General features: G+C 46.0%; 1 protein-coding gene and 3 non-coding genes across 9 annotated transcripts, besides 2 other annotated features; all 4 read left to right on the top strand.

Annotated features, from left to right (window-relative positions):
* Positions 48–347: a silencer, noted in NCBI's record as "silent region_21118". NCBI's record gives its function as "represses an Ori minimal core promoter by ATAC-STARR-seq in GM12878 lymphoblastoid cells {active_cell/tissue: GM12878}" and the evidence as "EXISTENCE:reporter gene assay evidence [ECO:0000049][PMID:35858748]".
* Positions 267–15,092, top strand: DKC1 (dyskerin pseudouridine synthase 1). 6 transcript variants are annotated; one of them, NR_110023.2, is made up of 15 exons: positions 267–384; positions 2,302–2,369; positions 2,847–2,933; positions 3,310–3,401; positions 3,619–3,803; positions 4,400–4,464; positions 4,659–4,785; positions 5,705–6,205; positions 6,570–6,713; positions 8,162–8,282; positions 10,534–10,652; positions 12,005–12,108; positions 12,598–12,676; positions 13,590–13,727; positions 14,202–15,092. NR_110023.2 is itself a non-coding variant. In NM_001363.5 (15 exons), the coding sequence occupies exons 1-15, from the start codon at positions 369–371 to the stop codon at positions 14,268–14,270; spliced, it is 1,545 nt and encodes a 514-aa protein (NP_001354.1). In that variant the 5' UTR covers positions 267–368; the 3' UTR covers positions 14,271–15,092. The 6 variants fall into 6 exon arrangements, 3 of the variants coding, with proteins under 3 accessions (NP_001354.1, NP_001135935.1, NP_001275676.1); NM_001363.5 differs by having other exon boundaries at positions 5,705–5,835; NM_001142463.3 differs by having other exon boundaries at positions 5,705–5,835; positions 12,005–12,093.
* Positions 698–797: an enhancer, noted in NCBI's record as "active region_30069". NCBI's record gives its function as "activates an Ori minimal core promoter by ATAC-STARR-seq in GM12878 lymphoblastoid cells {active_cell/tissue: GM12878}" and the evidence as "EXISTENCE:reporter gene assay evidence [ECO:0000049][PMID:35858748]".
* SNORA36A (small nucleolar RNA, H/ACA box 36A) lies at positions 5,931–6,062 on the top strand. Its single transcript, NR_002969.1, has one exon. It is a non-coding gene; the product is annotated as a small nucleolar RNA, H/ACA box 36A (small nucleolar RNA).
* Positions 5,999–6,059, top strand: MIR664B (microRNA 664b). The gene has a single exon (NR_049842.1). It is a non-coding gene; the product is annotated as a microRNA 664b (primary transcript).
* On the top strand, positions 12,401–12,529 carry SNORA56 (small nucleolar RNA, H/ACA box 56). The gene has a single exon (NR_002984.1). It is a non-coding gene; the product is annotated as a small nucleolar RNA, H/ACA box 56 (small nucleolar RNA).

Here is a 15,704-nt window from a genome sequence, read left to right on the forward strand (position 1 = left end):
GCGGAGCTAAACCCGGAGGTGAAGCAACTACAGCTGGGGCCACGCCCACAGACTCCGGGCTGTCGGGGCGGGCGGCACTCGCGCTTCCAGCCTGGGCCAACCAGGCTGCTTGAGGCTCGAAGCGCATGCGCGGTCTCGCCCTCCGTACTGGCCGAGCCAGCAAATCGCATTGCGCAGACGACCAGCGGGCGCCTCGGATTCCGCCCCCGGGATGGCCCCGCCTCCTCCCGCCCCGCGGCAAGGCACGCACAGGGCAGTGCGCGGGTGGGTGGGTCCTAGCAGCGCGGCCTGACGGGACCAAGGCGGCGGGAGTCTGCGGTCGTTCCCTCGGCTGTGGACCGGGCGGCACGCACGCGGTGCAGGGTAACATGGCGGATGCGGAAGGTAAGGGCTGCAGGCTTCCGGGCCGTGCTAACTCCGGGCGACTCGGGGAACGGGGGTGGGGGGATGGTATCGGGGCCCGCGCACGCCTCCCTCTGGTTCCCGCCGGCGTGTCGGCCTCTTCACCGCCCGGCCTTAAGCCGGCCTTGTCTCTCGGCCCTGGCTCCGTGGCAAGGGCGCGAGAGTGGGAGCCCCTCGCGGTGACTTGGCATGATGGGGCTCGGCCCTCTCACCTCCCTGGGGTCCGGGTCGCCGTCGAAAGACATCTGCCGTGCTGCCCACCCCGCGGTGGCGTGGGACGTGGCAGTGTCTGTGCTGCTGCCAGCCCGGACGCCGCCGTTACAGCTCCATGCGACTAGGGGAGCAAGGGTAGTGGAAACGGGCCGAGAAGAAAAGGAGCGGAGGGACCCCGGAGCAGGGATAGAGCTCCGAGTTGCAAGAAAGTTCTAGAGGCCACAAGCCCGCGGGGACAGTCGAGTGGTCGCTTATGGAACTTTCCGGCCCCCTGCGTGAGCGCTTCTGTGGGATGTTTAAGCTCTGCCATAGCCACGTGGTGAACCGGAAGGGAAGCCGACACGTGCAGTAGCCTACAGTCAGTTACCCAGCCATGGGACCCATACATTTGGCCTTACACACCTTGTTTTCTCGCTTACCTACGGATATACGTTCTAAGAAATGGGTCGTTAGGCGATTTCATCATTGTGTGAACATCAGAGGGCTCTTACACAAACCTAGGTGGCATAGGCTACTACACACCTAGGCTGTATATGGTGTAGCGTATGGCTCCTAGGCTTCAAACCTGGACAGCATGGTATTGTGCGGAATGCTGTAGGCAGTTGGGACACAGCGTCGAGAGTTTGTGTACTTAAACATGTCTAAGCAGAAAAAGGACAGTAAAAATATAGCACAGGGCCGGGCGCGGTGGCTCAGGCCTGTGATCCCAGCCCAGGCTGGCGGATCACCTGCGGTCAGGAGTTCAAGACCAGCCTGGCCAACATGGTGAAACCCCGTCTCTACTAAAAATACAAAAAATTTAGGTGGGCGTGGTGGTATACGCCTGTAATCCCAGCTACTCGGGAGGCTGAGGCAGGAGAATTGCTTGAACCTGGAGAAGGAGGTTGCAGTGAGCCGAGTTTCTGCCACTGCACTCCAGCCTGGGGAAAGAGTGTGACCGTCTCAAAAAAAAAAAATTATATATATATATAAATATGTGTGTGTATATATGTATATTATATATGTATGTATTATATGTATGTATATTATATATATATAGTACACAAGGTTATAAGTGGTGCACCCGTAGAGGAGGGCACTTACCATGAATGGAGCTTGCTGAGCTGGAAGTTGCCCTGGTTGAGTCGGTGACTGAATGTGAAGGCCTCAGACATTACACTACTGGAGACTTTATAATCTGTACACCTAGGCTACACTAAATTTATAAAAATATATTTTTCTTCAGAATAAATCAACCTTAGCTTACTGTAACTTTATAAACTTTTTACTTCGACTGTTGTAATAATACTTAGCTTAAAACAAACACATTATTTAGCTGTACGTAAATATTTTCTCTGCTTATCTCCTTATTTATAAGTTTTCTATTTTAAAATTTTTTAATTTTTTTCTTAAAAAATTTTTTTTTGTTAACTAAGACACAAACACAGCACACACAGTAGCCTTGACCTACACAGGGTCAGGATCATCAAGACATCACTAGGAGATAGGAATTTTTCAGCTCTGTTATAATCTTATGGGGGCCACCATCACATACGCAGTCTGTACTTGCAAAACATTATGTGGCATGTGACTGTAATTGTAGACCTAAAATCCATTTCCTACCTGCCCTAATTTCGGTCTTTATTTTAAACCCTTGTTTCATTTATTCTTGGGGAAAATTCCCAAATCCTGTGTTTGTTTTTTTAGTAATTATTTTGCCAAAGAAACATAAGAAGAAAAAGGAGCGGAAGTCATTGCCAGAAGAAGATGTAGCCGTGAGTAGTAATGTGTTTGACTTCACTTTGACTAAAAAGAAAGTTTACTTAAATAACAAACTAAAGGAAAGAAGTGTTTTTAAAGGTTTCCAAGGAATGGGCCAGCATTGGTAGTCATTGTGTAGATTCGAAAAAGCACTGAAATGACACAGCCCCAGACAGTCCAAGTGTCCTTCAGGCATAGCTTACTAAATGGTGCTGGCCTTACCAACTGCTGTCTCTGAATTTGTCTTCCTTATGCCACCCACAGACCCGCCATCCCCCTTTCTCTTTAAATGTTTGGACCCATCTTAGTGACATTTCACTTCCCCTCTGTACTCCTGGTTCATTTCTTCTCTCTCTTTCCCTTGGAGGTCCCAGTGAAAAGGCATAGGAAGCCTTGTTTTCTGTTTAAAAGGCATACATTTCCATGGCAGTAATGGAATTGTTCAAAATCGGGTGGGAAGTTTAATAGGTTATATTTCTGTCCTGTCGAAGGAAATACAACACGCTGAAGAATTTCTTATCAAACCTGAATCCAAAGTTGCTAAGTTGGACACGTCTCAGTGGCCCCTTTTGCTAAAGGTATGTGGTTAAAATCGTGCATCAGATGAATGCCTGCTTTTACGTTATTTCCAAGTGTTAAACAATTGATTGAGAATGCTTACTGCTGGCATCCTTGACTTTGGGAAGTGCCCACTGATACAGTTTAAAGCAGGATTCCTTAAGGTATCTGAAATGAGAACCAAGTTTTTAAAAAATTGGCAGTGCACTCAACACTGTTGTAGAACACATGTCCCCACAATGTTAAATTGCTGAGTTTGTCAACAGTTCTCAGTTTTTGTACTTAGTCCATCTTGCAGACCTATGCCAGTTTGTGGGCCACATAGTGGTACTGACTCTTTTTTTACATGTGCTCACGACATGGTATTTTGTTTTGTGTTGTGTCGTTGCTTTGTAGAATTTTGATAAGCTGAATGTAAGGACAACACACTATACACCTCTTGCATGTGGTTCAAATCCTCTGAAGAGAGAGATTGGGGACTATATCAGGTAAGTGTTGGGAGGAGGCACTGTGCAAACTTACTTTCTTTTGAAAATGCTTTCACATCAGCTATTCAGGAAGGCAGTGGCATGCCAGAATAGCTTTGTCTTGAATATATAACCTGTACCCGCAGTGAATTATTTTTCTTTTTAACTTTTCAGATTTGTTGTTTCACTGGAGCATTAAGAGTGGGTGATACATTAATTTTTTTTTTTTCCATTCCAGGACAGGTTTCATTAATCTTGACAAGCCCTCTAACCCCTCTTCCCATGAGGTGGTAGCCTGGATTCGACGGATACTTCGGGTGGAGAAGACAGGGCACAGTGGTACGCTGGATCCCAAGGTGACTGGTTGTTTAATCGTGTGCATAGAACGAGCCACTCGCTTGGTGAAGTCACAACAGAGTGCAGGTATGTGGGAGAGGGAGGGAAGGACTGGCTAGAGTGAAAAGCTTTCTGTATTTCCCTTCTATGTTTTGTCTGCTGGAAACTATTTCTTCATTAAGAAAAAAAAAAATCCTAAAGCAAGGATATTGTTTTGGTTTCTGTGTACGTTCTGTCCCCTGCCAGATCTTGGTGGTCCGCGCTTTTTGGAATTCCACATACTAAGCATGTATTCATCAAGCTGACTGGATCCATTTGTCCGGGTTCAGCTCTCAGCTTGTCACTCCAGGCTTCTCACTCTGTGCTACCGCTTCTGCCTAAAGTATCCTTCGTTCATTTTTATCTGAGAAAAGCCTGCTTATCTTGCAAGGCTTTTTCCACGCAGCTTCTACACTGAGTACTCCCAACTGTCCCTGTTAGTACATTGAATTCCCAGTGAGAAAGTGTCTTCATTCTTTCCCACATCATCACCATGAAATCTCTCTTAATGCAAATTTTATAGAAACACAAGGTCAAACTGCCGCTTTTCCTGCTGTGCAAAATGGGAGTGACTGAGCATATAAGAAATATGGAAAACAGAAAACTCAGTGGCCACACCTGACTACTCTTTTGTCATTTTTCAGGCAAAGAGTATGTGGGGATTGTCCGGCTGCACAATGCTATTGAAGGGGGGACCCAGCTTTCTAGGGTAAGTCTGCAATTGTAGGGAGGACACCCTTTGTTGACTTGGATCTCTGAGCCCCTAAACATCTGGAGATGGGTTAGCTGTCCTGACTGACTCCTTTTGTCCCCTTTTCAGTCGGCTGCTGCAGCCAGCCTGGACCAGTGACTGCACATGTACATTCTGATGAGGTGTTTGTTTTCATTTGTGTTTGTTCTTAGGCCCTAGAAACTCTGACAGGTGCCTTATTCCAGCGACCCCCACTTATTGCTGCAGTAAAGAGGCAGCTCCGAGTGAGGACCATCTACGAGAGCAAAATGATTGAATACGATCCTGAAAGAAGATTAGGTGAGTCATTAGGCCTGTGAGTGGGTATGAACACATTCTTCAGGATTCTGTTCTCTTATTAAAAGTAGATGCCCTTGAAGTTGAAGACTTTCTAAAACCTGCCCTACAGCTGGGATATTGTCTGTGGGCGATAGTTTTTGTTATCTTTTGTTGAAAAAGTGAACAGTGCCTAGTAAAGTGAGATGGCTTTTACACCTTTTATGATGACTGCTTCTGCTGGAGTTGAAATGTTTTCATTCTGCATTTGTGTAGTTCGGTGCTTTGTTCAAAGGTAAGTGTTTTCACCAAAGTATGTTTTGCATGTGTTTTTTATTTGTTGCAATTTTGACTGCTTAGAAGTTTCTGTTGTCAGAAGTAAATTTAAGACAATGCCAATTTTCCTCCCATCCATGAAACATACCATGCTGAATATACCTGCAACTTAAGTGTTAAAAATTCTGCTAATATCAGAATTACAGATCTTTTTTTTTTTTTTTTTTTTTTTTTGAGACGGAGTCTCGCTCTGTCGCCCAGGCTGGAGTGCGGTGGCATGATCTCGGCTCACTGCAAACTCTGTCTCCCGGGTTCACACCATTTTCCTGCCTCAGCCTCCCAAGTAGCTGGGACTATAGGCGCCCGCCATCATGCCCGGCTAATTTTTTGTACATTTAGTAGAGACGGGGTTTCACCATGTTAGCCAGGATGGTCTTGATCTCCTGACGTCGTGATCCACCCGCCTCTGCCTCCCAAAGTGCTGGAATTACAGGCGTGAGCCACCGTGCCTGGCCAGAATTACAGATCTTTACAGCAAATGCTTATATTTTAAGAAGTGTGTCTGTCACCTCTAGTCTTGGTGGCTCAGATGAAGGATAACTGCATTTCTCAACCAGTGATGTATTTACAGTAGGTGCTGCTTTTCTTTTGTGTGTGTGTATCTTAGGAATCTTTTGGGTGAGTTGTGAGGCTGGCACCTACATTCGGACATTATGTGTGCACCTTGGTTTGTTATTGGGAGTTGGTGGTCAGATGCAGGAGCTTCGGAGGGTTCGTTCTGGAGTCATGAGTGAAAAGGTATGTGTTACGGGGCTAGAAGTTTTAGAGCTGGTTCTTACCATCTGCCAGCCTTTGATGGCACTCCACTTGCTTCATGTCGTGGGAAAGATGCTTTCCAAAGTGTTGAGTTCAGTCCAGGGCAGCTTCCCTGTTCTGTTAATTAAACTTTGGGACATTAAAATGGGCTAAGGGAGATGATTGGGTAGAAAGTATTATTCTATTCATTTGCCTCCCAGCCTACAAAAATGCCTGCTTGGGGTCTAATACTTCAACGGTTAAAGATGCCTGGAAGAGGGCGCGGTGGCTCACGCCTGTAATCCCAGCACTTTGGGAGGCCGAGGCGGGTGGATCATGAGGTCAGGAGATCGAGACCATCCTGGCTAACAAGGTGAAACCCCGTCTCTACTAAAAATACAAAAAAAATTAGCCGGGCGCGGTGGCGGGCGCCTGTAGTCCCAGCTACTCGGGAGGCTGAGGCAGGAGAATGGCGTGAACCCGGGAAGCGGAGCTTGCAGTGAGCCGAGATTGCGCCACTGCAGTCCGCAGTCCCACCTGGGCGACAGAGCGAGACTCCGTCTCAAAAAAAAAAAAAAAAAAAAAAAAAAGATGCCTGGAAGAGCCAGGACTGAAGAGGCTGAAGACATAATGAGCTTGGACTAGTAAACAAGTGACATTCAGTTTTAGGAAGTTTGGGGTCTGATGGGCTGAGATACAAATAAACTGAATTATTTTCATACATGGCTGCTTTTCAGGACCACATGGTGACAATGCATGATGTGCTTGATGCTCAGTGGCTGTATGATAACCACAAGGATGAGAGTTACCTGCGGCGAGTTGTTTACCCTTTGGAAAAGCTGTTGACATCTCATAAACGGCTGGTTATGAAAGACAGTGCAGTAAGTTCCGGGTTAGGAGTTTATATTTGGAAAGAACGTACTCCAAAGATGAGGCTTGCTCTTTTTATTGTTTTCCTTGGGTTTTATTTTATTTTTTTCAAGTCCAAACCAAGTATATTAATTTAAAGTAAAAGTTTAATGGTAGGCATACTTAAAAATAAGGCACATTAGGCCAGGCACAGTGGCTGATGCCTATAATCCTAGCACTTTGGCAGGCTGAGGCAAGAGGATCACTTGAGTCCAGGAAGGAGTTTGAGACCAGCTTGAGCCCAGGAGATCAAGGCTGTGAGCTGTGTTTTTATGATGATCAGAGAGTTGGCCTTTTATAAATTAAAACATTGTCTTTTTCTCTAACTTGAGGGATAAAAATTTCTGGATATTTAAAATGTTTGTAGTTGGTAATTATTTATATTCAAATCTTGTATAGATGTTCACATTTTTTGTATGTGTATAGGCTGTAATAAATACTGAAAGATGGCACCATAATAGTTGAAAAAACTCAGTCACAAAACAGTGGACAACATAAATGTGATGTCCTCTCCTTATCAAACCATTGGCTTCTGGGTGAATGTAAAGGGAGGGGAGAATGTGATCAAAAGAGGTCTAGGTGAGTGGAGATGGTATGAGGCAGATGGGTGCATTGGGTACCATTGAACCTCTGGAGAGGTAGCCTTAACTTGTACCCACTGACCTATAAATTCTGCACCAAGACTTTTGTGTGATTGGTTCAACAGGGCTCAGTAATCTTGTTTTCAAGTTCTTTAAGAGCCTGTTATTGCCTGGATCTCCAGTAAATCTGTTCTTTCTCCTCATAAGGAGGAGAGAGGAGTAATTAAGGAATGCCAAGGCTATTTTTATGTTTCAAATGAAAATATGGACCACGTGCGGTGGCTCACACCCATAATCCCAGCACTTTGGGAGGCCGGGCCAGGCAAATTGCTTGAGCTCAGGAGTTTGAGACCAGCCTGGGCAATATGGTGAAACCCTGTCTCTATTAAAAATACAAAAATTAGCTGGGCGTGGTGGCACGTGCCTGTAATCCCAGCTCCTTGGGAGGCTGAGAATCACTTGAACTTGGGAGATGGAGGTTGCAGTGAGCCGAGAATGTGCCACTGCACTCCACCCTGGACAACAGAGGGAGGTTCTGCCTGAAAATTAAAAAAAAAAAAAAAAAAAAAAGAAAATACTTGTGAGTCTCTAGAACCTGAAAACCTGAAAGTCTTCTTTACTACTTTTGAGTCGTGTGTAATGTGCGGAGAGTGGTACCTATAGCACAGTGAGGTGGCTCTTCTGAGTACCACTCATGCCCCTTGCAGCTAGTGGGCTATAAGTGTCATCCCTGTTTCCTGGTGTCAGGCCCCACTCCCTTGTTGTCCTCCTTTACTCTGGTGTGGGAGTGGGGTGGAGGGCAGCAGCTGGGCCCCTTACACTTGGTGCCATCTCTGCAGGTAAATGCCATCTGCTATGGGGCCAAGATTATGCTTCCAGGTGTTCTTCGATATGAGGACGGCATTGAGGTCAATCAGGAGATTGTGGTTATCACCACCAAAGGAGAAGCAATCTGCATGGGTAAGAGGGGATGTTTATTTTTTAAATTCTAAATGTTTGTGGTTACATACTAGGTGTATATATTTATGGGGTTCATGAGATGTTTTGATACAGGCATGCAATACATAATAATCACATCATGGAGAATGGGGCATCCATCTTAAGCATTTATCCTTTGTGTTACAAACAATCCTATTTTACTGTTAGTTATTTATCACCTTAGTTATTTTAAAATATACACTTAAGTTATTATTGATTATAGTCACCCCGTTGTGCTATTAAATAGTCTCACTCTTCTTGTTCATTCTTTTGGTTTTTTGGTGGTGGTGTTTTTTTTTTTTTTTTTTTTTTGAGACAGTCTTGCTCTTTTCACCCAGACTGCAGTGCAGAGACGTGACCTCGGCTCACTGCAACTTCTGCTTCCCAGGTTCAAGCGATTCTCGTGCCTCAGCCTTCCGAGTAGCTAGGATTACAGGTGCACACCATGACACCTGGCTAATTTTTTGTATTTTTAGTAGAGACAGGGTTTTGTCATGTTGGTCAGGCTGGTCTCGAACTTCTGACCTCAGGTGATCTGCCCTCCCAAAGTGCTGGGATTACAGGTGTGAGCCACCATGCCGGGCCTGATTTTTTTTTTTTTTGTACCCATTAACCATCCCTACCTCCCTGCCAGCCCCCCACTACCCTCCCAGTCTCTGGTAACCATTCTTTTACTCTTCTCTGTCCATGAGTTCAATTGTTTCGATTCTTAGCTCCCACAAATAAGTGAGAACATGCAATGTTTGTCTTTCTGTGACTGGCCGATTACACTTAATATAACGATCTTCAGTTCCATCCATGTTGTTGGAAATGACAGGATCTCATTCTTTTTTAAGGCTGAATAGTAATCCATCGTGTATATGTACCACATTTTCTTTATCCATTTATCTGTCGATGGGCACTTCGGTTGCTTCCAAATCTTGGCTACTGTGATCTCTTTGATAACACTGATTTCCTTTATTTGGGGTATATACCCAGCAGTGGGATTGCTGGATCCTATGGTAGCTCAATTTAGTTTTTCGAGGAACCTCCAAACTGTTCTTCATAGTGGTTATACTAATTTACATTCCCATCAACAGTGTACAAAGGTTCCCTTTTCTCCACATCCTTGCCAGCACTTGTCATTGCCTGTCTTTTGGATATAAACCATTTTAACTGGAGTGAAATGATATTTCATTGTAGTTTTGATTTGCATTTCTCTCGTGATCAGCATTGAGCACTTTTTCATATGCCTGTTTGCCATTTATTTGTCTTCTTTTGAGAAGTGTCTGTTCAAATCTTTTGCCTGTTTTTTGATCAGATTATTAGATTTTTTTTCCTATAGTGCTGAGTTCCTTATATATTCTGGTTATTAATCCCTTGTCAGATGGGTAGTTTGCGGATATTTTCTCCCATTCTTATGCATATGGATATCTAGTTTTCCCAGCACCATTTATTGAAGAGACTGGTTTTTACCCAGTGTATGTTCTTGGCACCTTTGTCAAAAATGAGTTAAATGTAGGTGTGTGCATTTGTTTCTGGGTTCCTTATTCTGTTCCATTGGTTTATGTGCCTGTTTTTATGCCAGTACCATACTGTTTTGGTTACTGTAGCTCTATACTATAATTTGAAGTCAGGTAATGTGATTCCTCCAGGTTTGTTCTTTTTGCTTAGGATAGCTTTGGCTATTTTGAGTCTTTTGTGGTTCCATGTAAAGTACCAGTGTTTTTTAACTTGTGAAAGCTTAGCTACTGTTGGATTGTCTCTTAAGACTTTAAATGCTCTGCGCACCCTCTTAGTGAATGAACCTTAGAGCTATTCATTTAATGGGTCTAATTTGTACCAGAAGTAAGCATGTCATCAGGATTCCTTAGCTCTGTGAGCAGGCAAGGCAGCCACGGCTTATGGACAGCAGCAGAAAAGGAATCCTTAAAACTTCAAAGGTTCTGTGGCCCCAAAGGGAGTGTGCATGCCGTTCTTATAGACGTCTTGAGCTGCAAGCCTGTTATGTGTATCGTTAGGTGCTTTGGTTAGGTGTTTTTTAACTTCAGAAGTTTAACGTCATTTCAAAGGCCTCCTTCTCATAATGGAGTATTTCCTCCATATGCACATCCTGAGCAAAGGTAACCCCAATTAAAGTAGTAGCTCAGAGTTTTAAAAGTTTTAAAGTGGCATACAACAGTAGAATTGGGGCTCATCAATTATCAATTCTTTCACCCTTCAAATAATTCTTTTCTTTATTCAATGCCTGTAGCTATTGCATTAATGACCACAGCGGTCATCTCTACCTGCGACCATGGTATAGTAGCCAAGATCAAGAGAGTGATCATGGAGAGAGACACTTACCCTCGGAAGTGGGGTTTAGGTCCAAAGGTAAGTGGTACTGGGTTGCGTGCCCTGCCAGGTTCTTTTTTTTTTTTTTTTTTTTTTAAATTTATTTTTTTATTGATAATTCTTGGGTGTTTCTCACAGAGGGGGATTTGGCAGGGTCATGGGACAATAGTGGAGGGAAGGTCAGCAGATAAACAAGTGAACAAAGGTCTCTGGTTTTCCTAGGCAGAGGACCCTGCGGCCTTCCGCAGTGTCTGTGTCCCTGATTACTTGAGATTAGGGAGTGGTGATGACTCTTAAGGAGCATGCTGCCTTCAAGCATCTGTTTAACAAAGCACATCTTGCACCGCCCTTAATCCATTTAACCCTGAGTGGACACAGCACATGTTTCAGAGAGCACAGGGTTGGGGGTAAGGTCACAGATCAACAGGATCCCAAGGCAGAAGAGTTTTTCTTAGTGCAGAACAAAATGAAAAGTCTCCCATGTCTACTTCTCTCCACACAGACACGGCAACCATCCGATTTCTCAATCTTTTCCCCACCTTTCCCGCCTTTCTATTCCACAAAACCGCCATTGCCATCCTGGCCCGTTCTCAATGAGCTGTTGGGCACACCTCCCAGACGGGGTGGCGGCCGGGCAGAGGGGCTCCTCACTTCCCAGTAGGGGCGGCCGGGCAGAGGCGCCCCTCACCTCCCGGACGGGGCGGCTGGCCGGGCGGGGGGGCTGACCCCCCCCCACCTCCCTCCCGGATGGGGCGGCTCCTGCCAGGTTCTTTTGTTTGGCATTGTTGAATACTTGGGCAGCTCTTGGTGTGTTTCACCACCACAGCCTTGTATTGTGCTGGGCTCTGGGTTGTCGATGAGTGGAAACAGGCCCTGTCTTGGGCCTTAGAGATTTCAGTCTAATGAGGGGAAACAGTTGGGCATTACTCACGTAATCACACAGTGGAATGGCGAATTTCATGCACGTTAGTGGCTACCAAGGAGTGCAGAGAGGTGTCTGTCACCTGGAGTGTCCACAGTGGTCAAGGAGTCTGGTCAAGGGATTGTCTGTTAAGCCACACCGGTGTGAAGAGTGGGTTAGGTGTTGGTGAAGTGAAGAGGGGAGGGGAGAGTTCAGGGCATTGGGAGCAAGCAGCATGTGCAAAGGCAAAAAAGTAGAGTGGCTGCGGTGGGGACGTTATGTCTGCAGAGGCTCTCACTAATAAGCTTTGTGATCTTCAACAAGTCCTGTGTGTGTTGGAGTTAGTGGGCAAATTCTGAATGCTCTGGAGAGGAGTTTGAGGCCCTGCTGAGAATACACCAGGGAGGAACCTTGTTCTATTCTTTGTAGTCACCATGCCCGCTTCCAGCATTGACACCATTCTAATGTTGACACCTTGATGTTCCACCAGGCAAGTCAGAAGAAGCTGATGATCAAGCAGGGCCTTCTGGACAAGCATGGGAAGCCCACAGACAGCACACCTGCCACCTGGAAGCAGGAGTATGTTGACTACAGGTGAGGGCAGGATGTTTCAGAGCCGGGGTGGGTAGAGACGGCACACTTGCTGCCTTGATGCAGGAGTATGTCAACAACAGGTGAGGATGGGAAGGTAGAGCCCACTTGCCATCTGGACGCAGGAGTACATGGACAACAGGTGAGGAACAGGTGAGCATGGAGGTTGTAGAGCCCAGGGGAGGGGGAGTCACTTGGTTTGGGGCAAACTTGCTAAATGCAGGACCACAGGAACCAGCTCTTCAGCTCCCGTGAGATTTTGGCTGCCCAGGCCAGTTAGGGGTGTGGGCCTGCACGGCAGACAGTTATCCCTTTCTAGTCTGGCTCGTGGGACTCTAGAGGGAGTCAGTCTGCAACAGTAAGTGGTGAGTTCTTCTGTCCAGCGTCAGTATTTTGATGGTGGCTTTAGACTTGCCAGATAACACTACATAACATCAGTACTGCCCTGGAAAGCCATTCAGTGAATTTGACCTATTGCTACCTCTTTTTCAGTGAGTCTGCCAAAAAAGAGGTGGTTGCTGAAGTGGTAAAAGCCCCGCAGGTAGTTGCCGAAGCAGCAAAAACTGCGAAGGTGAGTGGCATGCTGTCCTCAGTTTGGAATGTGCTTAGGGAGATAATCCTAAGAGGCACTGGCATTCGTCTTACTTTGTGACTGTCCGCAGTCCAGCCATATACGCTAGCATCAGAGGTGCAGCGCATACACAGGTAATGCTGCCTCATACCCTGGGGTGCTTGTTTGGGCTCTGCAGGCTCCTCTGATTTGTATTCTCTGTCCTATCTGCTGGGAGGAGGAATGTGGGCTCAGGAATCAGATGGGCCTCGACTCCTACCTCAGCTATGGCAGCAACACAGTGATGGAATGGGTGGTGGTGTGTGTGTCAATTCTGGCCCCCGCCCTGGGTCAAATGGTAGGACAGATGTGTTGAAATCAGAGGCCATGGCTGTTGGACATTCGAGGCCATACAAAATTCAGCAGAGAGCAGAATTGCATCTTAACCTGGCACCACCCAGTGTTGAAAGAGTCAGTCAAGCATGGGTTGGCAACTCCACCCCATGGAGCTGCTGGCATTAGAGCACAGAATGACAGGTCTGCACTCAGAAACCGGGGGCGGTACTGAGTATCCTGCACAGGCTGTGTGGGAGGAGCTTCTGACTTGTCAGATGTGAATTCCTGCTTTGCCTGCTTTCTGTGAGAGGTCCTTGCAGTCATGAGAGAAACAGCTCCTCCGGGCCTTTCCACCCCAAGCCCCGTGCTGCTGCTGTGCTCCTTCTCTTGTGCCTGCCTCAAGGCTTCTTGGATTTGGGGGATGAGACTGTCTTCAAATCCTCAGTAAACTAAGGCCCTGTCCGGGTTTGTAGTCAGAAAACGTCCTGTTAGATTCAGTTGGGATCTTTCTTGGTGCCTTGCTACCTTTTGACTCACTGAACCTTTCTTGTCCATTATTGCCCAAGATCTAACACTTAACCAATTGCTTTCATCTCAGCGGAAGCGAGAGAGTGAGAGTGAAAGTGACGAGACTCCTCCAGCAGCTCCTCAGTTGATCAAGAAGGAAAAGAAGAAGAGTAAGAAGGACAAGAAGGCCAAAGCTGGTCTGGAGAGCGGGGCCGAGCCTGGAGATGGGGTGTGTGGAAACACGTTCAGGTTCCTTGGGCTGGCTTAGTCCCTGCGTGGGGAAAGAATTACCCAGGTGGTACCAGCTTTGTTACTCTTCTTGGAGGAGCTGTGGCCTGGGGGTGGGATGCCACCGAGTGCCTTTAGTGCTTCCCCATGTTCCTGGAGTGCTTTTGCCCTCCCTGTGGAATGGACAGATAGAGGCACCCGACCTCTACCACTTATACTTAGAGCTCTATTGATGGTGGGTGGAGAGGATGTGTAGGATGGTGATCTGAATGTTTCCACTTCCAAAAGTAGACCACTAGGGTGTCACTGAAAGGTTTACAGAACTTTGTGTCACATGCAGCATTTAACCCAAAATATCCTTACAGGTCCTGAAAAAGGCTTGCTTGACTGTGGACCTTTACCAGATTTCCTTCTGGGAGAGTCATAGCTTTGTTAGTGGATGGTATCTGTGAGCTTTCATTCTCTTTCTTTCTAGGACAGTGATACCACCAAGAAGAAGAAGAAGAAGAAGAAAGCAAAAGAGGTAGAATTGGTTTCTGAGTAGTGAAGGCCACTTGAAGCTGGAGGAGAAACTAAAGCCTTATTGAGAAAACATGTTATAGATCCTTTTGTTGCTGAGAGAGTGGAACATAGGTCCTAGACAGGGTGAAGAGTTCTGGCACATTTTAGCTGCTACTTTGAGACCTCGGTGATGTTACCTGGTGTGGTCATCCCATCTTGTCCTGTTTTAAGGATATGGGTGGTGAAAGATGAAAGAGGCAGAGTTTATCCCAATGACTTCTCTGTTTGAGTTGGGAAGCCTCACCTTCAGACCCAGTAACTGTCCGCAGCTGTCTGCTAGTGGTTGTCTTAACATCGTAGTCCTAGTTTGCATTTTTTAAATCCCCTCTGTTTAAAAGGTTTGTAAAACAAAAACAAAAAACTAAGTCTGCTCAGTGAAATGCTGTAGAACCCTAAATAAGTGGTAGAAGAGTGTCACTGAATTTTGTCTCTGAATTCAGTATAACTGAGTTTTGTCCATGCTGGTGTCTGGGTTATAGGCCTGATGGGCCTGGTAGTTTTCCATCTTGTTCTGGCCTAGAGGTCAGTCCTTTGCACTTCCTCAAAGCTTGTGTACAGTGCTCACCTAAATCCATCTGACTACTTGTTCCTGTGCCCTCTTGTTTTAGGCCTCGTTTACTTTTAAAAAATGAAATTGTTCATTGCTGGGAGAAGAATGTTGTAATTTTTACTTATTAAAGTCAACTTGTTAAGTTTTTTATGTATTCCTGTTGGGTTTTCTTGTTGATCTCATGCTAGCAGAGCAAAAATTGTAAAATATTTTGATTAAAAATCTAGGGACCTTTATGTCCTATTTGAAATGTGATGCTTTTATGTTTGTTTTCTGGTTTTTACATTTTTGTTCTGTATCTTACACAATCCACCTTGGGCCCTGTCATCTGATGTGAGATCAAGTACTCAGAGGCAGTGATTACCACAAAACCACTGATCTCTAGAAGAACAGAGAAGGAGAGGGTTAATGTATTTATACATAGTGGGCCTGGCAGGAGCGGGGGGCAGGGTGAGTCGGGAGAACGAAGCTGAGGGTGGGGACATGCAGGAATCTGAAGGCCTTGGTGACAGATTAGTGGAAGAAAGGTCTAGGGTTGCTTCCGATTTGGTATTAAGAACCAAGAAAGAGGCCGGGTGCAATGGCTCACACCTATAATCCCAGTGCTTTGGGAGGCTGAGGCGGGCAGATCACCCGAGGTCAGGAGTCTGAGACCAGCCTGGGCCAACATGGCAAAACCCATCTCTACTACAAATACAAAAATTAGCCAGGTGTGGTGGCGTGTGCCTGTAATCCCAGCTACTCGGGAGGCTGAGGCAGGAGAATCCCCTGGAACCTGGGAGGTGGAGGTTGCAGTGAGCCGAGATCCTGCCACTGCACTCCAGCCTGGCAAAACAGACTGTCTCAAAAAAAAAAAAAAAAAAAAAA

The sequence above is a fragment of the Homo sapiens genome, chromosome X (genome assembly GCF_000001405.40).
Source record: "Homo sapiens chromosome X, GRCh38.p14 Primary Assembly".
Lineage (NCBI taxonomy): Eukaryota > Metazoa > Chordata > Mammalia > Primates > Hominidae > Homo > Homo sapiens.

Coding starts and splice junctions, on each gene's coding strand:
- DKC1 (NM_001363.5), top strand. Junction 5,836..6,569: donor CTGGAGTCATGAGTGAAAAG/GTATGTGTTACG, acceptor GCTGCTTTTCAG/GACCACATGGTGACAATGCA. Junction 10,653..12,004: donor AGTGGGGTTTAGGTCCAAAG/GTAAGTGGTACT, acceptor ATGTTCCACCAG/GCAAGTCAGAAGAAGCTGAT.